The following is a 26,631-nucleotide window of genomic DNA, read 5'->3' as shown; positions in this document are numbered from 1 at the left end:
AAGACCAGCCTGGCCAACATGGTGAAACCCCATCTTTACAAAAAATACAAAAAGTAGCCGGGCTTGGTGGCCTGTGCCTGTAGTCCTAGCTACTTGGGAGGCTGAGGCACAAGAACCGCTTCAACCTGGGAAGTGGAGGTTGCAGTGAGTGGAGATCACGCTGCTGCACTCCAGCCTGGTCATAGAGCGAGACCCTGTCTCAAAAAAAAAAAAATTGGATTTTATTATTAGGCTAAGCCATAATTTCTTTATACTTCTTAAAATATAGAAATTGTTGGCAAATTGTGAAATTTATTGTTGTATAATGCTAATAGATCAGTTGTCCTGATGTCTTTGCTGTAATGATTTCTTTATAAAAATGATCTTAAATCTGAGCTCCCTAACTTTAGTTTTTGCCTGGAATTACCCATTACATTTGATGATATCTCTAAATGTCAGTTGTAGCTGTTACTCTGATGATATAAGTGGAATATACAGAAGCGTACTTAGACAAAAGTTAGGTTAATATCTGAACTACTTCCTCCTTGTGTATTTAAGAGAATATTGACTTAAGTTTCTAGAATCCTCAACTAATCCTAAGTTTATTTTCTTTGTCTAGAATACTATGCTGTTTTTGTTTTTGGAAGGAAGAGATATAGGCATAGTTTCCTGCTCTCAAGGAGCTTCAAAGGCTGTACCAGTGGGGATGCCATTGGTATTTTTAGCTGGATAGTTGTTATTCAGAAAAGCAGGACAAGTAATTATGATTCCTGGTCCGTACCTGGTAATGCCAGTAATGTTAACTCTAGCTGGTTGTTGACATCTGGTCATTTAGTTGCCAATCTTCTTTTTTTTTTTCTGGCTTTTATGTGAAATTTTTAGATTTTTATAATATCCTGAGCTAAATTCAACACAGGGACACCAGATTGCTGCTTTAGTTCAGGGTTTCCAGCCTGTGCACTTAAGAAATTTATTTTTGTGTATATCAAGCTGTAACTCCAGAGATTGGGATTGTTTGATTGGGTCTTTAGCAGTGGTACTAATAGCAACTTCTGTCTCTAGAACATTGGAAAATTAAAATGTGTTTATCTACCGTTTTTTTCCTCGAGGTTATATGAAGGTAGAAATGAATCAGACTAGATGATTAGCTAAGCGAGACTATTAACCCTCATCCCTTCCCCTCTAGACAACTATGAAATTAGTCATTATGTATTCGATCCTTCTTGCAGTCTCTTCTCTGACAGTTATAAAAGTGATTTAGGCTGCATAATGTTGTTTGAATGAAATGAAAATATAGACTAGAGCTGTTTTTTTTTTTATTTCCATCAGTCTCTTCAGTGAAAACTAACATTTGAGCATGATTCTTTTTTTAAATCATTTTGTGACAGTTTAGCAAGGCTTGTGATAAGCAAGTTATGGTATGGTAATATTTCTAGTGTCCACGTTTCTTCACATGTCTGGTGTATGGGAACTACTAACTCCATCAGGACCTTGCCTATAGTAGGTACTCAACATTTACTGAATTAAATCAATAAACATTTTTAATGAATTACAGTACAAGTCAGACCTCTGTATCTGTGGGCTCTGCATCTGCAAATTCAGCCAACCATGGATCAGAAATATTAGAAAAATGGAAGAACAGTCCAGCAATACAAGTAATATGAATAAAAACAATACAACAACTATGTACATTGTATCAGGTATTATAAGTAATTTAGAGATGCTTTAAGTATACTGAAGGATTTGCGTAGGTTATATGCAGATACTGTACCATTTTATATAAGGAACTTGAGCATCTGTGGATTTTGGTATTTGCATGGTTCCTGGAACCAATCCCCCAGGGATACTGAGGGACTATAGTTGATCATACCACCTGATTTTAGAGATTTTCTGAGTCTCAGAAGTTAATTAAGTAAACTACAATAGTCTGTTCTTAACCTCGGAGGATACATTCCAAGAACCTCAGTGAATATCTGAAACCACAGATAGTATTGAATCCAATATATACACGGTAATATTTTTTCCTATACATATGTATCTATAAAGTTTAAATTCTAAATCAGACACAGTATTAACGATAATAATAAATTAGTGCAAGACTGGGCATAGTGGTTCACACCTATAATCTTAACACTTTAACTATGACGTTGTCTTTGAAAAGAAATCAGCTAGCCAAGGTGGCTCATGGCTGTAATCCTAGTGTTTTGAGAAGCTAAGTCAGGAAGATTGCTTGAGCCCAGGAGTCTGAGACCACCCTAGGCAACATGGTGAAACCCTGTTTCTATAAAAAATACCAAAAAATAGGCTGGGCGCGGTGGCTCACGCCTGTAATCTCAGCACTTTGGGAGGCTGAGGCGGGTGGATCACGAGGTCAGGAGATTGAGACCGTCCTGGCTAACACGGTGAAACCCCGTCTCTACTAAAAATACAAAAAATTAGCCGGGAGTAGTGGGCGCCTGTAGTCCCAGCTACTCAGGAGACTGAGGCAGGAGAATGGCGTGAACCCGGGAGGTGGAGCTTGCAGTGAACCGAGATCGCGCCACTGCATGCCAGCCTGGGCAACAGAGCGAGACTCCATCTCAAAAAAAAAAAAAAAAAAACCAAAAAATTAGCCAGACGTGGTGGTGCTTGCCTGTAGTACCAGCTATCCAGAAGGCTGAGGTGGGAGGATTGCTTGAACTTGGGAGGTCAAGTCTAGAATGTTGACAATGTTGGGTCCTTTATGTAGTTGCATAAGTGAGCCATGATCGTGCCACTGCACTACATCCTTGGGCAACAGCCTGACCCTGTCTCAAAATTTTAATTTAATTAAAAAAATAAAATAGAACAATTACAACAATACACTGTATTACTGGACAAGAAGGGCAAATTTAAAAAAAATTAAACCAATATGCTATAATAAGTTATATGAATGAGGGGACCCTCCCCTACCCCAGAATATCTGATTGTACTATATCATAGGTAACTGAAACCGTGAAGAGCAAAAACTGAAGATAAAGAGACTACTGTGTCTTTTAAGTTTCTTTTCAACTCCCAAATTCTTGGATTTCTCACCTCTTGGCTTCCTCAATAGAGGTGAGAAATGTTAAAGTAGTGAAAACAGGAAAAATAACTTACTCATTCAAGAAGTAGATAATGGTCCAGATGGAAAGCTTGAATTATTTTTGTAAAACTAAAATTAAATAAAGTAGCCAGGCATGGTGGCTTACGCCTGTAATCCCAGCACTTTGGGAGGCTGAGGCGGGTGGATCACTTGCGGTCAGGAGTTCAAGACCAGCCTGGCCAACAAGGTGAAACCCTGTCTATACTAAAAATACAAAAATTAGCTGAGCATGGTGGCGGGCGCCTGTAATCCCAGCTACTCGAGAGGCTGAGGCAGGAGAATCGCTTGAACTTGGGGGGCGGACATTGCAGTGAGCCCAGATCACGCCACTGCACTCTAGTCTGGGTAACATCTTGAGACTCCATCTCAAATAATAATAATAATTAAATAAAGTAAAAAGTTTCCCACACCTCATAAATGTCTAATAAAAATTGAATATGTTGAGTTCAAGTACTCTGAAAAAGGAGTTGAATATAGTTGGAGGTTGGTTTTTAGGAATTACTATTTTTCTTAAATTAACTATCCTTGTAGTCACCTAGGAATTGTGTATTTTCTATAGATCTTAGAAAATTATCAAATCTACAGTTCATTTTGTTTTTTCAGTTTTTTTTTTTTTTTTAAGAGATGGAGTCTTGCTGTATTAGCGTTGAACTCCTGGCCTCAGCCAGTTCTCCCATCTCAGCTTCTGAAGTAGCTGGGGCTGCAGGTGCCACTGAGCCTGGCTTCTTTATTGGTATTTTTATTAAACACTTTTCTCTAATGTCTTTGTAACAGTTCTCAGTTTTTGAAATGCTGTTACTGTTTCTTTAGTGTGAACTGTCAACTTTCATTTTTTCTTTTCTTTTCTTTTCTTTTCTTTTTTTCTTTTTTGAGACAGAGTCTCGCTCTGTCACCCAGACTGGAGTGCAGTGGTGCGATCTTGGCTCACTGCGACCTCTGCCTCCCGGGTTCAAGTGATTCTCCTGCCTGAGCCTCCCGAGTAGCTGGAATTACAGGTGCGCACCACTGTGCCTGGCTAATTTTTTTTTTTTTTTTTTGTATTTTTAGTAGAGGTGGTGTTTCACCATGTCAGTCAGGCTGGTCTTGAACTCCTGAACTCATGATCCCCCCCGCCCTGCCTCGGCCTCCCAAAGTGCTGGGATTACAGGCATGAGCCACCACGCCTGGCCTCAGCTTTCATTTTCATTTGGTTAGTTTTTGAACTATTCAGTGGGTAAAGTTGTATAAATAAGTGTCTTTTCTCTGTATAGAAGTGTCTTGGAGTTCAAGGAGTGCTGCTTTGCAAACTCATAGAGTATTTATAAAAGCTAACTGCAGAAGGTATTCATAGGCTAAACCGTTTCCTATTCTTGGTAGCACCATTTTCTCTGGCCTGAAATACTTTCCTTCTACTATTAGTGCCTGTCGATACCCAGCAGTGTATTTACTTTCCTGAGGAACAATTCAAATGCTAAGTGCTTTAAGACCTAAGGGTGGAAAAGCAGTGTTTTCAGGCATTATTAGGAAAATAAGATTTAAATTAGACACCCAGAAACAAAAACAGGTTTGTAATTGGTAAAGTGAAAGATGGTTAAAGAAGGTTAGATTGACCAAAGCGAGAATTTACCTTTTTTTTTTTTTTTTTTTTGAGACAGAGTCTCATGCCGTTGCCCAGGCTGGAGTGCAGTGGCGTGATCTTGGCTCACCGTAACCTCCACTTCCTGGGTTCAAGCAGTTCTCCCACCTGAGCCTCCCGAGTAGCTGGGTGACATGCGCCACCACGCTCAGCTAATTTCTTTGTATTTTTAGTAGAGACTGGGTTTCTCCATGTTGGTCAGGCTGGTCTCGAACTCCTGACCTCAGTGATCTGCCCGCCTTGGCCTCCCAAAATGCTGGGATTACAGGCATGAGCCACTGTGTCCGGCTGAGAGTGTACCTTTTTTTTTTTTTATCAAGCAATCTAGTACTTGATCCTAATAATCTTTGTGGTAGGTGTTTGCATTTTTAGATGAGGAAAAGGGAAATCTATGAGTCCTAGGAAATACAGTTGGTATATGGGAACTGATATGTAATTAGACTTAAGTGATCCATGTTGAATTTATGACTTAAGCACTTAACTATAATCTTAACCTCTCCAGTTGTCTGATGAAGTTAGTATATGGGAACTGATACATAGACTTAAGTGATCCATGTTGAATTTATGACTTCAGCACTTAACTATAATTTTACCCTCTCCAGTTGTCTGATGATAATAAAAACTTGAAGCAGTTATCCATATGGGGATCTCTTTGGGGAATCCCAGTCACCAAAAGTTAGGTTTTCTTTAATATTTTTTCATGGAAGATTTCAAATATACTCAAAATTGAAAGAATTATATAATAAATTCTCATGAGCCCATCACACATCAATAATGAATGTACAGCATTGCAGTGTGGAGCTTGGCCTATTGCTGACCACTCAGCAATGTGGCAGAACCACTCCATGATTCCCCATGGAAATGGGAACTACTTCGGTTGTCCTTTTATAGAAAAATTCAGTAAGTATCTGCTGATTGTGCCCTACTTGTGACTTGAAGCCAGGTTTTTTTTTTTGTTTTTTATTTTTTTTGTTTTGTTTTGTTTGTAACAGTCTTGCTCTGTCATCCAAGAGGGGCATGATATTGGTGCACTGCAACCTCCACCTCCTGGGTTCAAGTGATTCTCGTGCCTCAGCCTCCCGAGTAGCTGGGACTATGGGCGTGCACCACCACACCTGGCTAATTTTTGTATTTAGTAGAGATGGAGTTTCATCATGTTGCCCAGGCTGCTCTCGAACTCCTGAGCTCAAGCAATCTACCCACCTCCACCTCCCAAAGTGCTAAGATTACAGGCATGAGCCACCATGACAGCAAAGCTGGGTATTTCTTAAATTGGTTCAGTCAGGTGCAATAAATTATTTGCCCTACTCTAAAATTTAAAAATCTTCTAAGAATTATGGTTTTGCAGCTGAGGTTTTTTTAAGACTCGAGCTCCCTGGACTCCTACATATATCCTTAGAACAACATTGTCCAATAGAAGTACAATGTGAGCCACATGTTTTGTTTAACCCAGCATATCCAAAATATTACCCCCTTTGCATGTGCTTAATATAAAAATTTAAGATGATTTATATTCCAGGTTTTCAATATTCAGTGAGTAATTTTACACTTAGAGCAAGTATCATTTCAGACTAGTCACATTTTGAGTACTCAATAACCACATATGGCTAGTGGCTACCTTACTAGATAGCATAGCCTTTGAGTCCCACAAAGTGTTCACATTCTATGTGTTTACACACATCTTTTGAAGTGTCATGACAGAGCCAGATAGGATCCAGATTTTCTTTAAATCTGGTCTCTCTTCCGGATTCCTAGTTGATTACTTCTTTGTTGCTTCTTATAGGGATGTATCAGAAGTTTAATAATCTTATGATTATTATGTTAACTGCCTGAAGTATTAATGGTAGCAATAAATTGAACTATAATTTTAATTTTTCAAGTAAATTTTCTTATGTGATACTAAATATTTCACATATACATGTATCAGGAAGTAAATGGGGGTAATTTAGTAATGAATAGTATATAATAGTTTATGATGGTATTTTTCTTTTTTTTTTTTAGATTGCAGCAAAAATTGGAGGTGATGCAGGGACATCACTGAATTCAAATGACTATGGTTATGGGGGACAAAAAAGACCTTTAGAAGATGGAGGTAAGTTATACTCTAAGTATTTTAAATTGTTTTTCAGAGTGTTTAGTTGAAGTGATTCTCGGTATTTTTCTGTTATTTTATTGAGATATTAACTTTTATTATAAGGTTGTTAAAATTGTAAGCTGTATATTGGCCTAAAAGGGGGGAAAGAAAACTAGACAAGGTAAGTAAAATTTGAAAGAAATTTTTTAAAAAATTTTTTAAAAAAGGAAGTTTTGTCTTAATAGAAAACAATTTATTTTCCCTCTTTTAGGATTGTGCCAGATTGAAAGTTTGCACAGACGTCTTGTTAATAATATTAAAAAACATATAAATTGCTTAGAAGACACTTCACTGGTTTTACTCATACGTGAATGGATTTTAATATGCTGTATTTTCGTCATTTTTCTATTTCCAATTGCACCTTAAAGGTTGAAATTCCTATAGTTTGCTACTCTAGTGTGTTGCAGGTTATACCATTTTTTTTTTAATGTTCTTTACTTTCAGTACTTTTGTGTTTCACGTTTAGCTTTAAACCTGTGGATTAAAACAGTGGATTTACAGTGCTATGTATTTTTAAAAATCGTAATCGTTGAAGCTTCTGAACTTAGAAGTCTGCATGTATTTTTTGTTTTAGGTTTGATATATGAGTTTTGATACATTTTCTTTTTACCCTTTTTTTTAAAGGGAGGATTCTCACTGAGGCTATAGAATGTATTTGTAGCTTTTGACCAGGAGAACTTGGTTTCCTTTTATTTAAGTGTCTTTCATATTTATAGTGAGGTTTTTAATGTAGAAAAAAAATGAGCTAATGATGCTTCAGATGTTGTATGTAATGTATTCTTTTTATTTTATGTGTAGATGGCTCTTGGACAAGTCCGAGCAGTACAACACACTGGGAGGGAATGCCCTCTCCTTTTAAAGGCAGGAATTTTTATTTATTACCTGTGTTCAGTATGTAAACGTGAAATAAACCAGTGGATTCTTAAATGGACACAAATATTTCTTGGATTATGTGTCTGCGCATATTTTATTTTTGCTGCACAACATTCTGATGTTTAATCATTTAAGTTTGAAGGGGGGAGGAGAATGTAGTACTTTGAGCTATAGGTTGTCTGTTCCAAGGTATGCATTGTATTCATCTGTGTAATGGATTTAGGTGAAGGTAGTCATGTAGTTGCTTTGAGATTTTATTTTTTTGCTAAAGTTTTATGCAGTGAAATGTTTGTTTATAAATAATAGAACAGTTTAGGTTGAGATTGCCTTGTAATGTTGTGGGGGGTTTTTTTGTTTTTTTTTTTTTGGGCATAGCTTTGTGGTCACTGTCAGATACACTTTAATATGTCAGATTTTTGTAGTTTGATAGGCTTTTCTCCCCCCAGTCTTCAGTTCCTGAGGTGGAAGCATCATTAGCCTTTAGCATGTGATATTTTGCTAGTAATGGACCTAAAGTACGTTGTCTTGTGTCATTCTAATGTGCTTAACATACATTAAGGTCAGTGATTTCTTAAGAATCAGATAACTATTTTAATGTCTGTGCATCTTTTGAACGTGAAGAGAATGAAGTATCGTTTCTTTTTTAGATTACTGAGTTGGGGTTGAATTTTGGCAGTTTTGGTTCAAATGATAAACCATACCTTCAGATATTTCAATAAATGTTTATATTGTTATTTATTCTTGTTTGGGAGGGGAGAAGCTTTGTACTTAATTGGCAAAAAATTAAAAGACACTTAATTTTGCAGATCAACCAGATGCTAAGAAAGTTGCTCCTCAAAATGACTGTAAGTATTCCTTTTAAACTGGGTCAAAAGCTAAAGTAACAATTTCAATGTTAAGATTTTGTTCATATTATTGGGTATCTTTGAAGTTAGTTGGTTTATGAGTATTTTGGATCAGCTAGCCTGAATTTCTTTGTAAATATATACCTTTTTCTCCTATTTTACAATCTGTCCCATTAATTGTGGCCGGGTATATGTAAAGATTGGTTGCTGAATTATTTTACATATTTAACAACTCCAATTCTTGATCTATACTTGTACAACTTGAAAAAGGAAATTATTTTGTTCTGTGCCATTGCTAATATAATGTCTTCCCTTTCATTGGCTCTCTTGCCCCTGTCAATGCCAATATAAATATTGTGTAAAAAATTTGACTCTCTTCAAGGTGTTGTCTGTGCATTAGGGAGAGATTTTTGAATGTTTGATGTGATTGTGTTGTTAAATATATAAGTAAATTTAAATTTTGAATTTTTGTTTTATTTTTATTTAATTTTTTGATAGCTTTTGGAACACAGTTACCACCGATGCATCAGCAGCAAAGGTATAGTCACAAGATTTTCAAAAAGTACTCTGCAAGTTTTGGTTGAGCTGTATGTAAAAACACAACCACATTGGTGTATATTGAATATGTGTCTGTGTATTTTTTGGTGTACCTAGTTCATATCACTCCCCTTGGGAAGGTACCATAAAGTGATGATTTTTCTTTTGAGTGAGAAAAATTTGTGATTTGGAGAGATAGGTGGAATTAACCACATTTTAGAAGAACAGGGGTGAATTAGAGTAACTGTTAAGATGACATTCTCTAAACTCCACTTCAACTTCTTTACAGTTAATGCCTTCAGACTGTTCCATTCATCATCCCTTCTTCACTTGATGTGTCATCTTAAATTTCTTAATTTAACTACTCAAGTAATAAGATCATATTTTTTGACATGAGTCTGAGCCTAGAACCTTAGTTTAAGCCATTGGGAGACATTAGACTTCCATTTTTATTAATAGATTATCTTTTATTTGTAAACAAAGTATCTTTCATTGAAGGAAAATGGTGCTTTCTGTTATTTCTTAGCAGATCTGTAATGACAGAAGAATACAAAGTTCCAGATGGAATGGTTGGATTCAGTAAGTAACTTGATTTTTAAAGTTTTGAAAACATGATCAAAACATACTTTAGAATCTTTCAACCAAAAAAAAAATTTTTTTTTTTCTAACTAGTAATTGGCAGAGGAGGTGAACAGATCTCACGCATACAACAGGAATCTGGATGCAAAATACAGATAGCTCCTGGTAATGTTACATTCTCATGGTATTTTCAGTGTGACTAGAAAACTAGCTTTTTTTTTTTTTTAAGCCTTCTAGTAACAATAATGCTACTTTTAATCTTTTGACCTGAAGTTATCTGTTTGTTTTAAATTGTAGACAGTGGTGGCCTTCCAGAAAGGTCCTGTATGTTAACTGGAACACCTGAATCTGTCCAGTAAGTTTGAAAAATCTTAAAAATCTACTTAAGTAACAACAGCAGAACTCTTTGAATTTTGTCTCTTCTCTTTGTTACTGCTTTATTTTACACTGTGGTTTCGCTGCCACCTTCCCTCAAAGTCCTCCAACTCCTTTGAAGTTTATGCCTCATGCCTTTCTCAGGTGGGGTTCATCATCTGAATCATTAAACACAGAAAATGGTTAAAACAACTCCATATCTACTCCAGTCTCTACTTGTAAAGCCACGTGTAGCCTGGAGAAGAATGCACAGTCAGGTCGACTGGTGACACTTAAAACTCAGACATTAAGCTCAAGTGGACTGTTGTGTTGCCTGCATTTCCCTAGTTCCATTCACTTTTCCACTCCTCTCCCAGGCTCTTTAATACTGTATTTCCCCACCTCCAAATCTTCAGCATCTAACCCCACGCTCTCCCACTTAAGCTTATTTACTGAGAAAATGGAAGCAAATGATAAGAAGCTTTTCTTTTTCCCTACCACTAAACCTACCAGCCTTCATTTTTCCTCTGTTCACATAGTACTCAGGTAATTGCTTTCCTTTTGTGTTCGAGTGCCTAAAGCCAGCCCTTTCTTCCTACTGAAGGTTCAGCTTGCAGTTGTACTTTCTTCTGCATTGTTAGTTCTCCCTCATTACTAGGTTTTTTCTTTTCTTTTTTTTGAGACGAAGTCTCGCTCTGTTGCCAGGCTGGAGTGCAGGGGCACGATCTCGGCTCACTGCAACCTCCGCCTCCCGAGTAGCTGGGACTACCGGTGCATGCCACCACACCCAGCTAATTTTTGTATTTTTTTAGTAGAGACAGGGTTTCACCATGTTGGCCGGGATGGTCTCAATCTCTTGACCTCGTGATCCACCCACCTCGGCCTCCCAAAGTCCTGGGATTACAGGCGTGAGCCACTTCCCCCAGCCTGATTTTCTTTATGGCACTTTCCAAATAATGTGTTATTCATTTGACATGTTATTTTTACTTATTTAATGAAATGAAGCCACTCTAGCAGGAACCCTGTTTCTTTGAGTGCTATTACCCCATTACCTAGAATAGCACCTGCACATAGTTGATATTTAAATATTTGTTGAATGAATAATTGTAGCATATGAGTAAGCAAAATGGTAGTTTAAAAATGTAAATAAATCATTTAGTTCTTGGAAGAATCAGTTTAATTCTGAGATAACTTTAGCATTAGAGTTCTTTCTTGGAAATTTTGGACTATTCTTAAAAATAAAAATTGTATATCTAGAAAATTTTTTTGCATAATCTCTCAATCTTTGACCCTTGATGGCATTTTCTTTCAGTTAAAAGTAAAAGCATTGTTAAAGTTAGCATCAAGGCACCTAATCCTGAACTGGGATAGGAGGAGTACTTGGTTATATTGTTTTATATTTCTCTATTTGAATAAGCTTGGGTATGCTACAGCTTACTATTTAAATATTAATTTGTTAACAGGTCAGCAAAACGGTTACTGGACCAGATTGTTGAAAAAGGAAGACCAGCTCCTGGCTTCCATCATGGCGATGGACCGGGAAATGCAGTTCAAGAAATCATGATTCCAGCTAGCAAGGCAGGATTAGTCATTGGAAAAGGGGGAGAAACTATTAAACAGCTTCAGGTATTGTTATTTTTGTGAAATGGCTACTTTTGATCTGTTTTGATGCCCATTTTTGTCCACTTCCTTTTGTTAATATATATTATTTCTATGATTGTAACAGGAACGGGCTGGAGTTAAAATGGTTATGATTCAAGACGGGCCGCAGAACACTGGTGCTGACAAACCTCTTAGGATTACAGGAGACCCATATAAAGTTCAAGTAAACTTAACTTTATACTTTATAAAGAAAGAGTGGGTTGAATGGGGTTGGGCAAAATATGCATGAATAATTAAAATGTTTTGAGACATGCTTTCTAAATTAGCTAACTTTTTCTGCTTTAGCAAGCCAAGGAAATGGTGTTAGAGTTAATTCGTGATCAAGGCGGTTTCAGAGAAGTTCGGAATGAGTATGGGTCAAGAATAGGAGGAAATGAAGGGATAGATGTAAGTAAAAATACCCATTCAGAAATGGTTGTATGCTAATTCATAAATATAATAGTGTTTTCTGTTTTGTGTTAAGTAGCTCTAACATTGTTATCCTTTTATTTCACCTTTATACTTTAGAATACAGAATTCTATATATCTTGTTACCCTATTTACTATAAATATAGAATTATATGTACTTTTATGATTTGAGGCAGATTTTCAGGAAATGGCGCTTTTTTAAAATACTTTTTTTTACTTTAAACCCTGAGAAGCTAGCTTTCTTAATACTTAGTCTTTTTTACATAAGGTCCCCATTCCAAGATTTGCTGTTGGCATTGTAATAGGAAGAAATGGAGAGATGATCAAAAAAATACAAAATGATGCTGGTGTTCGCATTCAGTTTAAGCCAGGTGAGTACATATAATAATCTTGTAAGTGTTGGCAGCAGTGAGTTTTGACATACATTTATTGTTTAATTAATTTTGTTTCTTTGTTTTGAAGATGATGGGACAACACCCGAAAGGATAGCACAAATAACAGGACCTCCAGACCGATGTCAACATGCTGCAGAAATTATTACAGACCTTCTTCGAAGTGTTCAGGTTTGATAGAAAGTTAACATTTTCATTTTTTGTTTTTATGGAAAAGTATTTTCCTTCATGAAATCTGAAGTTACCTCTATATCAGAGTCTGCTTGATGATGCTTTATTAATGGAGAAAGTTTAAATTGCTTTAAGGTAAAGATCTTGGAGCAGGAAGAACTACTACCTTAAGTGCTACCTTATTTACTCTTGTATTTTAAAAAATGTTATTACTTATTAGGGCCAGTTCATCTCTACATTTCTGATTCAGGTATATGAGAGCTGGGAAAAATAAACTTAATAATTTTATCATGAAACAAAAGTATTTCTGTGCTGACTCTTCGTTCTTGTCTTTCCCTCTCTATAGGCTGGTAATCCTGGTGGACCTGGACCTGGTGGTCGAGGAAGAGGTAGAGGTCAAGGCAACTGGAACATGGGACCACCTGGTGGACTACAGGAATTTAATTTTATTGTGCCAACTGGGAAAACTGGATTAATAATAGGAAAAGGCAATGTATTTTAAACTCTTAATGTTTTAACACATTATTCATTTTTCTGGACACTTTCTGTTGCTGTCGTAAACAAGTGGCAATGCTTTTTCTCTGACCGTATTTTAGTAGAAAAGAATTCTTATGTTAATATGTAACAAGTAAAACATAAATGAGGGATCTCATGTATATTTAGAGAAAGAGCAGGATTTTAATCTTACTAGCTTCTAGAGAAAGCGAACTAAGAGATAATTATTAGCATAAGAAATGTCTTTTGACCCAAAAAGTGGTTTGAGTGTTTTTGTTTGTGCATTTTGGTTTTTCCCGACTCATATTTTAAAAATTTGAATGTTTATAAGTGTATTAGTTTATATTTACACTGCTTTTAAAAGCAGTTAATTCAAATATTTTATTATAATCACATTAAGTTTATGTTTAAACATACTAAGTAAATGTAAATGTATTTTAAGAGAAGCATGAAATGCTTCCTAAAATTTGATTTTCAGTGTAGAATATTAAATGAAAAATCTTAATACAATATTGTCAATTAGGATACTGACCAAACCATATTTTTAATGGCCCATTTAATTGTGACCATTTTCTTCTAAATAGCTCCTAGTACACCCTTGAAACCTTTAGAGAAATTACTGTCTTTTGATTTTAGGAGGTGAAACCATAAAAAGCATAAGCCAGCAGTCTGGTGCAAGAATAGAACTTCAGAGAAATCCTCCACCAAATGCAGATCCTAATATGAAGTTATTTACAATTCGTGGCACTCCACAACAGATAGACTATGCTCGGCAACTCATAGAAGAAAAGATTGGTGTGAGTATACTTTAAACTTTTAATTTTTAGTGTAGACCCTTAGACTGTAGTTAAATTAAGACGTTTATTCAAATACATCAAAGGAAAATGTATCATTACTAGTCAGCATTTATAGATTTCATGATATGTATAATAGATACAACGTGAAGATTTTCCAGCAATGAAAATAACCTAATTAAATGTGTAGTTACAGGTTTTGAGAACAACCTTACATTTGGGTGTGGCTAGATAAGAGGAGGGTAGTGTTACCTGTAGGCATGATATTAGTGTTGGTGTAGGATTGTGGAACATACTTGAAGGACATAGTTAACGGGAATTCATTATTTATTAAGATTTTACTCTACTGAACCCCAGCGAGGCAAACAAGATAAATCAGATACATCTGCCACTCTACAGTAGAAATTCATAAATCCTAGGTTTTGGACTGGCTCACAGATCATCTGGGGGTATTAAAATGTAGACTATTTGGGTGCTTCCCACTCCTACACATAATATACAGAGACAGACCTGACTCAAAATGTCTGGGATAGGGCCCAGCATCTAATTTTACATAGATGTTTGGGTGATTCTGGTGCACAGACAAATTTGGAAATTTTTCCTCCAGGAAAGTTTTCTGTTAGAACAAAAAAGTATGAAACGCTTTGACTGCTTTTTTGTAAGTGAGGCAGACAGTGTCTTACTGGAGTTTTTAACACAAAGTGTGCAGGGGGCATCTTAAATTATTAGAATTGCCTAGGAAAAATTATTTTTGGTGTTTGCCATGCTGTGAATGGGGTGCGTGCAAAACAAGGTTGACACTGTTTCTGTCAACTTGGGAAGACAAAAATAGATGTACAAAAGACGCTTAAGGAACGTCTTACAAAATGTACACAAACATTGTGAGTTCTGTTGTATGGATAGTTTAATGGTTCAAAAAATGAAGAGGATGTTTGTAGAGTAATGATAGAGGTTGATGCCATGGCAAAAAAATGAATAGCACTCATCTTGGTTTTTTATTTTACAGTATTAGCCTAACATGCATGCGTCAGGATTTCTGTTGGATTCATGGAAAAACAAGATAGATTGTTTTGGAGAAGCAATTTGGTGTGGTGATTAAGAGCATGGACTCTGTAGTCGGGTTGCCTCAGTTCAGAATTCTGTGAATCATTTACTGGTTCTGTGACCTTGGAGAAGTTACTCAGGCTTTTCTGTGCCTTGGTTTCCTCCTGTAAAATGAAGATAATGGTATCTACTTCATAGAGTTGTAGGGATTAAATGAATGTTCATGTGTGTGTCACTTAAAAGAATGCCTGCCACATAACCCTAAAAAATGTTGCTACTTTTTCAGTATTATTTTTACTACTTGGAAAGAATAGGTCATGGATAGTAAGTGAGAGATGACAGCAATTGGAGATTTAAAGAGACAAGTTAATAAAAAGAACTTTAAAGGTCATGAAGTTTAGTTTCCCTATTTTGCAGTGAGAAATTTACAACAAAATGTAGTGTTAGCATTTTGTCCAACATGTCGCCTGGTTGTGTTAACTACTCAGAAGGAGCATTTTAGGACAGTTAAGTGTAATGTCTTTGTTGGCTTAACCAAACAGAAATCAGTTAAGCGTTATTAATGATGTGGCATGCATGCATGATAAGGATATAAAATATCCTGATTTATTGAAGGAATTAAAAAGGGAATTTTTGTGCTATTAAACATCATGATACATGAAAGGCCAAAAAGGATATAAATTATTGATCTGAATGGGATTTTAGTGACAGAAATAGGTTGTGAGGTGGATTTTAGTTTCATAGTGAAACAACTAGCTATTAACGTTATCAGTGAAATGTTCAGAAGACGATGATACAGGACCCAAGCGGTTTGGGAATATATTGTCAAGACGGTTGTCTCATGTTAGGCAAGTAGATATAGAGAGAAGAGCTGAAGATAAGGACCTGATTTCTGTGAGTAAGATGGAAAAAGATAGTAAAAGTAAGAATGATAAAAGGAAAGGGAACTACTGCTGTCCGCAAACAAGCTAAAGGAAATTTAATTGCTAATTTAAATTTAATTTAATTTAAATTGCATTTAATTGCTACTGCTATTGATTTTAGTGAATTTTACATGTCTCATTATTATGGCAGATGAAATAGTTTTTGCAAAATGAATGAGGAAAGGAAGGAAAACCTAAAATTTGTTATTTGTGACTATAAGAGGGTAGAAATGGATGATTATTTGGCCGTAGAGTTGTTTAACCATTACTGTGTTTTTCTGATTTTTCTATGTCATCCTTTTTTTTGTAGGGCCCAGTAAATCCTTTAGGGCCACCTGTACCCCATGGGCCCCATGGTGTCCCAGGCCCCCATGGACCTCCTGGGCCTCCAGGGCCTGGAACTCCAATGGGACCATACAACCCTGCACCTTATAATCCTGGACCACCAGGCCCGGCTCCTCAGTAAGTATTGGGTTTAGTTCTGGGCTTTCCCCAAAGATTCTAGTTTTGGGACTGTTTTTTATGCTGATTTTTCTTTTCAGTGGTCCTCCAGCCCCATATGCTCCCCAGGGATGGGGAAATGCATATCCACACTGGCAGCAGCAGGCTCCTCCTGATCCAGGTAGAAGATGCTTATTATTTGTGTGTTATCTGTATTATTTTCCACTCCTGTTACATTATTAAATTTTCTAGTGTTGATTCTACATTTGTATGCATCACCTTCACTCACTTTACTCTTTCAACAGTGTTAGGCACTGCCTCTACCCCAGTGTATAGGACTGACATGAATATGAGCTCTGCTTTTATGGAATTTCTTTCTACTTGCCTTTGGCTTATGAGTTGATACAGTAGAATGATAAAAGCTAAAAGCTGCAGGAAAGAGCACAGTGTCATAGGTTTTGGATACCAGTGCTGTCAAATGTGTAGTATGTTCATTGTGACATTATCTGTGGAAAAATAGTTTTTACTTATTTAGAAAAGTATGTGATAGGGGCTGGGCACTGAGGCTCACGTCTGTAATCCCACCTATTCAGAAGTCTGAGGCTGAGGCTTGAGACCAGCCTGGGCAATATGGCAAGACCCATCTCTAAAAAAATTTGTTTTAAATTAGCCGGGCAGGGTGGTATGTGCCTGTACTTGAGGCTGAGGTGGGAGGATTGCTTGAGCCTAGAAGTTCTAGATTGTATTGAGCTGTGGGCACACCATTGCACTCCCCTGGGCAACAGAATGGGATCCCATCTCTTAAAAAATTATGTATATATGTAACAGTCTATATAAATATATATATATAACAGTCCAACAGAGTGTTAAGTATTGGGGCATTAAACTTCCAAATTGTCAAATAAGATATCTGTTCTAGTACTCCTCATATGACAACTTCATGTGAGTAAAAATCAGGCCTGTATTTAATAACTGCATGCTAAAGCCCAAATACGTTTAATTATTTTCTATATTCAGATTTATTTTTATCCTATTATATTCTGGCATCTTTCCATACCCTGTAGTTTGCTTTCCATCTTGGTCAAAGAGTCATTCTTTGAAACCAATTAACATTTATTTATGATCCTTTTTTCTCACCTGCTACCTACCTTTTAGGCCTCTTTCACTCGTGTAGTTTCAAGGAAAATATACTCAATTATGGAATACTTTCTACACATAATACATTTATCCCAAAAAAACTTGAAGTAATTTATGTAAATGAAATTGCTTGATTAACTTCATAGGAAGTGTGCTGTTTGGAATATGATGACACAGCATGACAGTTACCAAGCATGACTTGAGTTGTGCTAGGATATAGGTGTGCAAAGTTGGGGTTGTGTTCTATAGCAAAAGAATGCACTCCCAGCGTAAGCAACACTGATGGAAGGGGCTCACAGGGTACAGGATATAATACTCTTAACAACTAATTTTTGGAGAATGAAAGGGCTTTTCTTTCCCTCTTGTTGGCTGATTGGGATGGTATAATTAATGGGATTGAAGAGTTTGAGTAGGTTAAAAGGCAGATTCATATTGGGTAACTTGGATCTGCCAGGATTGTATTTTTGAGCACTACTGGGTGGTTAGCATGATTGAGGAAAAATGATGGGAATAAGAAGTGGAAGTGGTCTTTGTATCACAAGTTGAATTTCTCACTTGGAGTAGTAGTGAAGTCACTACTGTAAGAGCTGGTCAGTGAATGTGGTTGCAGCATGGCCTTTGGGCAAGAAGTAACCCATTTAACTAAAACCAGCTGGTTGGCCCCACTCAGATTTATCAAAGGGTTACTGGGTCCCTGGGGGTGGATATTGCTTATATTAGACTTAGAATAGCATACTGTTTTAATATTATATGAACTAAAATGTTTCTTTAAAAAAAGAGTGGTCTGTTAATGGATTTATGTAGTGGTCAAGAATTTAGACTTCAGAGTCAAATAAACCTATATCAGTCCTAGTCCTACAGTTTACTAATTGTGAGATGTCAAGCAAGTTTTTGAACTCCTCTAAGCCTCTGTTTTCTTATCTATAAATTAATAAATGAATGAATCGGGTTGAGTGAATATTTAGTAAATTCTTAGTACATACTAGTTATTTGTAACTGTGAGACTGGTTTTTTGGTATGGTTTTCACATTTGGGAGTAGAAATACCACTTCCTAAAGTCTGTTTTATCTCAAATTCTCTATCCAGGCATAGTGTAAAGTGAAATACCTAGATTTCTTGATTAATATACAGATAATGGCCAGACGCCATGGCTAAAACCTGTGACGCTAGCACTTCGGAAGGCTGAGGCGGGCGGATCACTTGAGGTCAGGAGTTGGAGACCAGCCTGGCAAACATGGCGAAACCCTGTCTCTACTAAAAATACAAAAATTAGCTGGATGTGGTGGCAGGTGTCTGTAATCCCAGCTACTTAGGAGGCTGAGACAGGAGAACTCCTTGAGAATTGCTCCACTGCCCTCCAGCCTGGGCAACAGAGTGAGACACTTCATCTCAAAAAAAAAAAAAAAATACAGATAATGACACTATTGAGATATGTAAACATCCAACATAAAAAAGCAGTACATTGGGCAATTGAGAAAAGTTTGGCAGGTGTCCTAATAACACCTTACAATTATATTACCTTGCAATTTTCTTTTTCTAGAAATTCTTGCTCATTTTTCTCAAACTTGACTAACCTTTATTAAGCAGCTGAGAATTGCTACTGTTCAGAATGAAGGTATAATAGAAAATTTAAAAGTTTTAATTGTATGGTATTCCTAGTATAAAAGACAATCAAGTTTTTTCTGGTTTCTAGAAGATTGAAAGGTCTCAAACTGTTCGCACTTCAGTTGATGTGGGAGATGAGTGAGGGTCAGTCAAGTGTAGAGGAGACAACATAGCTAAAAGCCGAGACACGGGCATAGTGATTTCTGAAAAGTACAAGCACTGTGTTGTGGCTGGAGCTTGGGTGTTGAAGAGATACAACCAAAGGGAGAGATGAGGCTGAAATGGAAAGGATAAGCCAGGGGCTTCAGGCTGTTAAAGATGTTGAATGATAGGCTGTACTTAAGCTTTGAACATCCTGAAGATTGCAGAGAATGAAGAATTTCAAGTAGGATGACATCAAGTTTATAACATTCAATGTGAAATAGGATGAAATGTGGCTAATCTTTTTTAAGATTTTTATATTTTCTCTTCATTGAAAATAAGGACAAAGTTCATTGTTCTAAAATAATTTTCTTTCTTATACAGGTTAGTCCCTAGAAATGTTTTTCTTTAGTCATCTTCTAGATAGAGCTGTTTGTGCTTGAGGCGAAACCAATTTAGAAAAAAACAAGGGCACAGGATGGTTTGAGACAGAGCATTGGATTTGGAGCCAAAAGACCTTTATTCATATCCCAGTTATGCCACTCAGTAGTTTTTAACCTAGGAAAGTCACTTAGTCTCTGAGACTTGGTTTTCTTTAATAAAAGCTGATGGTGACAACAAAAATAATAGAAAATTTAAGTTTTCATATACTTTTTTTAATGTTCTAGTTAATTTTGGGGGCTGTATATTTGCCAGAGAGCTGGGCGGGGGGGTGGTGTGTGTGTGTGTGAGAGAGAATTACAGACTTCACATGCAAACCTTGAACTTTCATTTATTTTAGCTAAGGCAGGAACGGATCCAAATTCAGCAGCTTGGGCTGCTTATTACGCTCACTATTATCAACAGCAAGCACAGCCACCACCAGCAGCCCCTGCAGGTGCACCAACTACAACTCAAACTAATGGACAAGGTAACTACAGAACTTATTGTATGTGAAAGCCAAAAGTTGTGCTTGGAATTATATATGAAGTACATCACTGTATAATACCTAAAATTTCTGACATTATTTAATTATAATTTAAGCAGACTTTTCCTTTTTTAAATTGTTACTTTGAAATAGTTTCAAACTTTCATAAAAGTTGTAAGAAGAATACCCGGAGCACCCAGATAGCCCAGCTGTTAATGTTTTATTCCCTTGTTTACTCTGTTACCATCTATATCATACATGTGTATCTGTATTTATTTTAAATATCCATTATAATTAGTTCTGAAGGAAGCTAATTATATCCAGCATAATTAGTTCTGAAAGAAATCACTGAAGACTAAACTGTAGACATGATGTCCTGTTGGGTACTTCTTCAAAAATACATAACCATCATACAGCCCTCCAAATCAGTAAGTCAACATTGATATATTAAGTTCTTTATATCATTATGGATTTCTGATTTTTGCAGTAGGTTATATTTTTAAAGTATTTTTATAATTTTGATAATCAGATTATCCTGGATTTGGCCAGTCAGGGAGTATATTCAGGGTGGTGCCTATATCCTTTTGAAATACCTGTCATTCTTTTAAGCACTTCCATACTGTCTGGCACAGTAAGATTGTTATTTTGTGCTTTCTGGGCTCCAGCCCTCGAGTCAGCTATTTCTTCAAGGAGCTCTTATTCCTTTTAGTAGAGTATGGTAGTTAGAAACGAGACTTGAGTATGCTTGTTGCTACTGAGGTGTAATTGCTTCTAGCTTCTTTCAACAGGCAGAACTAGGAAATATATTTACATACATGCATACCTACATACACACACCAAAAAACACATAAACATCGATATATGTATATATTTTTAAAAACTATGTTCATATCACCACATCCGTTTCAGCATTTTGGGGTTTTCAAGCCTTTTCCTTTTTTGTACTTGTTTACAAACGTGAGAAACCTGGTGTCCTCAGTGTATTTCCTTATTTGACATGCATTTACTTATATGTTCAACATAACCAGTCTTCAAACAGGTTGGTTTTCTTTTCTGTCCACCACCTCTGTACCCCCAGTACCTTCTATCTTTGGCACTGTTAGGGATGCCACCACCACATAGTACTTCCCTCCTACCCTCACTGTCACATTGCAGGCCCCTGCCAGCTCCTGCACCCAAGGAAACGGCCAAAATTGCCTTTTAAAAACTTTAATTCTGTTTTTTGTTTTGTTTTGCTTGAACAAGGAGATCAGCAGAATCCAGCCCCAGCTGGACAGGTTGATTATACCAAGGCTTGGGAAGAGTACTACAAGAAAATGGGTATGTTTTATACATTTCTTGAAAATACATACTTAATTAAATTGAAACAAATTATTCTCTTCAGGAAGAGAATAATTGAATAAAATCACTGGACTTGTAAACATATCAAGACAGTTGTAAATTATAGTTTTTAAATTTGTGGTTATATGGCAAGGAAATTTTTTTTTCTAATTGCATTTGTCAACCAGTTATTAATTGAAACTAGAAATGTCCTTACTGGTACATACAATATTAACATTACTATACTTTTGACAATGACAGTTATATATATTATCAGTCTAAATGACATAAGGTTAAATTTTAATGTGTCAGGCGAAAATTGTGTGTGATACCATTATTTTTGCTGCAAGATAAGCAGGTAAGAAGTAATCTGCAGTGACGGAAAGTAACCAAGTGATGGAACCAGAATCTGGCTTCCAAGAGGGTCTGAGTCCCAAGCTTGTCTCCCAAATTTGTCTCTTTAGGAACCATTTGGAACCTGATACTATACTTCTGGACAAATCACTATATTTCAGCTGCTTTTGCTCTTAGTCATTTAAAATTATTACATACCACAGCTAGATGTCACAAATGAAAGCTAAATTGGTAAGCTTGGTTATCCTTCACTAGCAGAAAAAGAACCTATAGGTGGTAGAGTTTTGTCATAAGAGAACGGTCTACTTGGGATTTTCAATGTTTTCTTTGCCAAAGAATGTTTCTCATTCTCCACAGAAAGAAAAATTTCCAGAAAGGTGATGATTTTAATCTTCTAGATGTAAAATTACATATACCTGATGATAAAGTTGTTTTGCACAACTGGTTTCTTTTTAAAGAAAAATTGTTTTTCCTCTTAGAATGGCTTCCTAGGAGAGTCATGTTCCGTCTCTTTCTGAGGCTTTAACAGATTATGTTTTTGTGACCTAGCTTAGGCAGATCTACAGTAGCTACAATTCGGCAAAAAGAAACTTTTAACTTAAAAACAGCATACTCTGATTAAGGTTGGTTACATAATTTATTTTCTGAACTGGGATCCTTTTTAGAATGAATAGGGATGCTATTAATAATCATGCCCTGACAGCATTGTGGTCAGGACCTGTAATCAACTTAACTTTAATTAAATAGCATCACCATTTTAAAAGACTTGAGCATGAGCCACGTGCGGTGGCACACACTTGTAGTCCCAGCTGCTTGGGAGGCTAAGGTGGAAGGATTCCTTGAACACAGGAGATTGAGGCCAGCCTTGGCATCATAGTGAGACCTGGTCACGTGTTTGGGTTAAAAATCACTAACTTCAACTTCTATTTTCTCAATGGGTAATGTCCCCTAGATAGGGTCCCTAGTTATTATTAAGTAGGTAAAAATAAAGGCTTGTTAATGGATTTAGGTAATTATGGAGGAATGAGTTTGGCTTCTGTGCTTTATTTTACCATATTGATTATTTGTAATATGGCCATTAATACATTTACTGTTTAGTCTTTTTTGTTTTACTTTTTATGTTTTACTCAAAATGAGTGGGTGGGTGGAATTCTAATTTTTATTGTTAAGGGAAGACATTTTACCTTGTCTTTAATTTTTTATTTTTTTTTACCATTTCCCTGCCAGTTAGAGATACTATACTATACTGTCTTGAATCCTCTGTAGGAAAACATGGCATAGAAATAATTAAATAATAATTAGATGTTAAATAATAATGCTGTATGACTAAAGAACCTCCTTACCCCACCTTTTCTGTTGTTGTTCTGTAGTACCACAATAATCACTTGTTAATTTTATTTATTTATTTATTTGAGAGGGAGTCTCACTCTCGCCCAGGCTGGAGTGCGGTGGCGCAATCTCAGCTCACTGCAACCTCCGCCTCCCAGGTTCAAGCGATTCTCCGGCCTCATACTCCCAAGTAGCTGGGATTACAGGCGCCTGCTACCACATCCGGCTGATTTTTTGTATATTTAGTAGATACGGGCTTTCATCATGTTGGCCAAGCTGGTCTCAAACTCCTGACCTCAGGTGATCCACCTGCCTCAGCCTTCCAAAGTGTTGGGATTATGGGTGTGAGCCACTGCACCCAGCCTCACCTGTTAATTTTATGAGCAAAACAGATTAGTTGGGCAAGTCCTTCACATGCATATCTCGTTGTTGTTGTTTTTTTTAAGACGGAGTCTTGGTCTTACTCCCCAAGCAATGGTGCGATTTCGTCTCAGTGCAACCTCTGCTTCCTGGGTTCAAGCTATTCTCCTGCCTCAACTTCCCAAGTAGCTGGGATTACAGGCGCCCAACCACACCCAGCTAATTTTTGTATTTTTAGTAGAGACAGAGTTTCACCATGTTGGCCAGGCTGGTCTCGAACTCCTGACCTCAGGTGATCCACCCGCCTCAGCCTCGCAAAGTGTTGGGATTACAGGTGTGAGCCACTGCGCCTGGCCACATGTGTATATCTTAAAGGAAATAATGCTAGGTAATTTAGTCAGGTGCTTGATGAGCATTTGTCATCATCATACGGAGTCAATTTGTCTTTTTCTATAAAAGTTCTTTTTGTAAATGATTAGTTGCTTAACTGCTTTAATTTCTTCTAGGTACCTTACCTGTCATCAGGATCTTTTTACCACAAATAAGAAACCTTAAAGCATAAAACTTGGTTCAGTCTTCACATTTCTTAAATGGAAGGAGAAAGGGAATAATAGGGAGATATCTTTATCTCAAAGCCAACTGTTGTTGACTTTTCCAGTGGCAGGGGTATGATGCTAGGACTTCAGATTTCCTGATTCCCCATCCTAGTGCCCCTTTTGCCAAACTAGGCAGGCTTTCACAGCTTTTGGAGCCTAATTTAAGTTTTTCTTGTTAAGAACAGAAAACTCCATTCATAGATTTTAATTTGTCATTATTTGCTTATTTACTGAAAAAAAAAAAAAACTATTGAAAACAGGTGTGGGTTAAGTTTCCCAAAATTAGGTTTATATTTCAAAACAATTCTAAGTTCCCAAGGATAACACCAAACTAAGAGGATAAATTTTTATTTTATTTTTTTTTATTTTATTTTTTTGAGATGGAGCCTTTCCCTGTCGCCCAGGCTGAAGTGCAGTGGCATGATCTCGGCTCACTTGCAGCATCCACCTCCCAGGTTGAAGCAATTCTTCTGCCTCAGCCTCCCAAGTAGAGAAAATCTTGATAAGATTTCAGAGGCTTATAAGGAACAGCAGTAAAGATGGGTGTTTTTAAAGCTAGAATACAGGGATTTTTTTAAGACCCTTAAGAGAACAAACAGGGTTTCAAAATAGAAAGGAGTAATTCTTGTTTGGAGAAGTGAAGACATTTGGGAAAAGTTTGACTTGAGGAAGGCCATTATGATAAGGACTGATGTGGTAGACTCTGAACCCTGAAGAATCTGGTACCTTAAGCCTAAAGGAGGGTAGAGTGAGGACTTGTGGGAAAGGTACAGTTATATGGGAAGACAACTGAGTGTGAAAATCTATTCATGCAAGGCTGGCTCTTAGGCTCTAATAGAATCTTGCAAGCTAACTCTAGAGCAAGTCTTTTATCTTTGGGATGAAAGAAATTTAAGGCTAAACTTTATACATTATAATTATAAAACTATAATAAATATTAGATAATGTTCTACTGAAGTATAAACTCAACTATCTGGCATCAAACAGTAACTAAGCCATGATCACACCACTGCCACTGTGTTCTGGCCTAGGTGACAGAGCAAGACCCTGTCTCAAAACAAAATCCAGTAACTAAAGAGAGGAATAAGGGGAGCGCAAGGTAAGGCAGTACATGTCTGAAGGGGCAGGGAAAGAGTTCTTTCTCTACTTCCAACTGGGCAAAATAAATCACATTTGCCCTTTAGATTGGAAGAGTGAAATAAGCTTTTCTTGAACATCTTTTAAGATTGGAGTGTCAAATATTACCAACTTATTTACCAAGAATTTGGTTTTTCTTAAAGTCTAAAGTGTTTACTATTAGCTTTCCACAGGGATATAGGAGTTTGCAGAGGTTGTAGTTTTTTAAGGGAACATCAATGAATTTTCTTGATGCATATGCCTGTTTCTACCATTTTACATTGTTAATTTGCCTCTAAAATGAGTAACTCTTACAATGGGGTTTAAAACCTGAAGACTATTGATTGCTACCTTGATCAGGTTTGGTTTCAAGTGTGCACCCTGTAAGAGACAATGTGTGGTTTTATTGCTATTGTCACACCAGTTTTTTAGATATTGAAACCTGTTTCAGATTTGCTTGAATTGTGTCTTGTAAGAGGAAAATGTTAAACTTACTTCCTCTTTGAGAACAGTTATTTATAGAAGACAGGAAAATATGAGAATTTTTAATAGTATATGAGAGTTCTCTGTTACCCAAGAAAAGAGGGTTTTTTTCAGGCATTTTTAAAGAATCATAAATCTTAAATTCTTTCACTCAGTTGCTTTGAGTCTGTGACCTGTTTTACAATGGTGATAGACTGCTTTCTGAAACTATGAAATTGGTCTTGTTGGCAGCATCCTACAAACATAAAAAGAGCTTCCTGTGTGTCCATGCTCCAGTATTTTTGTCTATGGTAGTTATTTCACAAAGCCAAGCGAGTTACAAACGAAATAAAATAGTGCTTAAGTAAAGAAACTGAATAGGAGAACATATACTCTCTCTTCTCAATTTTTTATTTAGAAAATTATATACCTTCAGAAATTGGGGAAATAAGGCATCAGACACTCAGCTTCATCATTTTTTAAAAGTTTGCTGTATGCGCTTTATATGTATGTTTTTTGTGTATGAACCATTTCAAAGTAAGTTGCAGACAAGACAGTTTGCTCTAAATAAACTCAATGTCTGGGCACAGTGGTTGACGCCTGTAATCCCAGGACTTTGGGAGGCCAAGGCAGGTGGATCACTTGAGTCCAGGAGTTCAGGACCAGCCTGGACAACATGGCAAAACCCCATCTCTACAAAAAAAGAGAAAAATGTCAGCTAGGCATGGTGGGCCTGTAGTCCCAGCTACTCTAGAGGCTGAGGTGGGAGGATCACCTGAGCCCTGGGAGGTTGAGGCTGCAGTGAGCCATGATTGCACCGCTGCACTCCAGCCTGGGTGGCAGAGTGAGACCCTGTCTGAAAATAAATACCCTCAATATTATCACAAACATACAGACTATATTTAAATTTCCATAGTTGTCAGGAATATGTCTTTTGTCGTCTGTGTGTTTTGTT

At 36.7% G+C, this 26,631-nt stretch overlaps 1 protein-coding gene across 31 annotated transcripts in view, besides 2 other annotated features; it reads left to right on the top strand.

The window, feature by feature from the left end:
• Positions 1–26,631, top strand: part of FUBP1 (far upstream element binding protein 1) — a 35,447-nt gene that overhangs the window by 2,788 nt on the left and 6,028 nt on the right. For 10 of the 31 annotated variants that reach the window (XR_007064840.1, NR_146539.2, NR_164756.1 and 7 more), the window contains 17 exons: positions 6,699–6,789; positions 8,511–8,549; positions 9,048–9,087; positions 9,616–9,665; positions 9,759–9,830; positions 9,963–10,020; positions 11,483–11,645; positions 11,746–11,844; positions 11,967–12,068; positions 12,358–12,460; positions 12,552–12,652; positions 12,999–13,140; positions 13,784–13,944; positions 16,219–16,370; positions 16,451–16,530; positions 20,014–20,142; positions 21,385–21,459. Coding sequence is in view for 16 of the 31 variants with exons in the window: in XM_047433487.1 (XP_047289443.1) it covers positions 6,699–6,789; positions 8,511–8,549; positions 9,048–9,087; positions 9,616–9,665; positions 9,759–9,830; positions 9,963–10,020; positions 11,483–11,645; positions 11,746–11,844; positions 11,967–12,068; positions 12,358–12,460; positions 12,552–12,652; positions 12,999–13,140; positions 13,784–13,944; positions 16,219–16,370; positions 16,451–16,530; positions 20,014–20,142; positions 21,385–21,459 (1,657 nt within the window). In the remaining 15 variants the exon portion in view is untranslated. Of the gene's footprint in view, positions 1–6,698; positions 6,790–7,629; positions 7,693–8,510; positions 8,550–9,047; positions 9,088–9,612; positions 9,666–9,758; positions 9,831–9,962; positions 10,021–11,482; positions 11,646–11,745; positions 11,845–11,966; positions 12,069–12,357; positions 12,461–12,551; positions 12,653–12,998; positions 13,141–13,783; positions 13,945–16,218; positions 16,371–16,450; positions 16,531–20,013; positions 20,143–21,384; positions 21,460–26,631 lie in introns of all 31 variants that reach the window. The other 21 variants (XR_946790.4, XR_001737517.3, XR_001737514.3 and 18 more) reach the window with 3 other exon arrangements.
• Positions 10,896–11,098: a silencer, noted in NCBI's record as "fragment chr1:78431300-78431502 (GRCh37/hg19 assembly coordinates)". NCBI's record gives its function as "represses an EF-1alpha promoter that drives an FKBP-Casp9 reporter gene in an ReSE screen in HepG2 liver carcinoma cells {active_cell/tissue: HepG2}" and the evidence as "EXISTENCE:reporter gene assay evidence [ECO:0000049][PMID:32094911]".
• Positions 25,527–25,586: a silencer, noted in NCBI's record as "silent region_1006". NCBI's record gives its function as "represses an Ori minimal core promoter by ATAC-STARR-seq in GM12878 lymphoblastoid cells {active_cell/tissue: GM12878}" and the evidence as "EXISTENCE:reporter gene assay evidence [ECO:0000049][PMID:35858748]".

This window comes from Homo sapiens, chromosome 1, assembly GCF_000001405.40.
Source record: "Homo sapiens chromosome 1, GRCh38.p14 Primary Assembly".
In the NCBI taxonomy this organism is placed as follows: Eukaryota; Metazoa; Chordata; class Mammalia; order Primates; family Hominidae; genus Homo; species Homo sapiens.
Note: the sequence above shows the minus strand (reverse complement) of the source record. Positions and strands in the feature narration are given on the sequence as shown.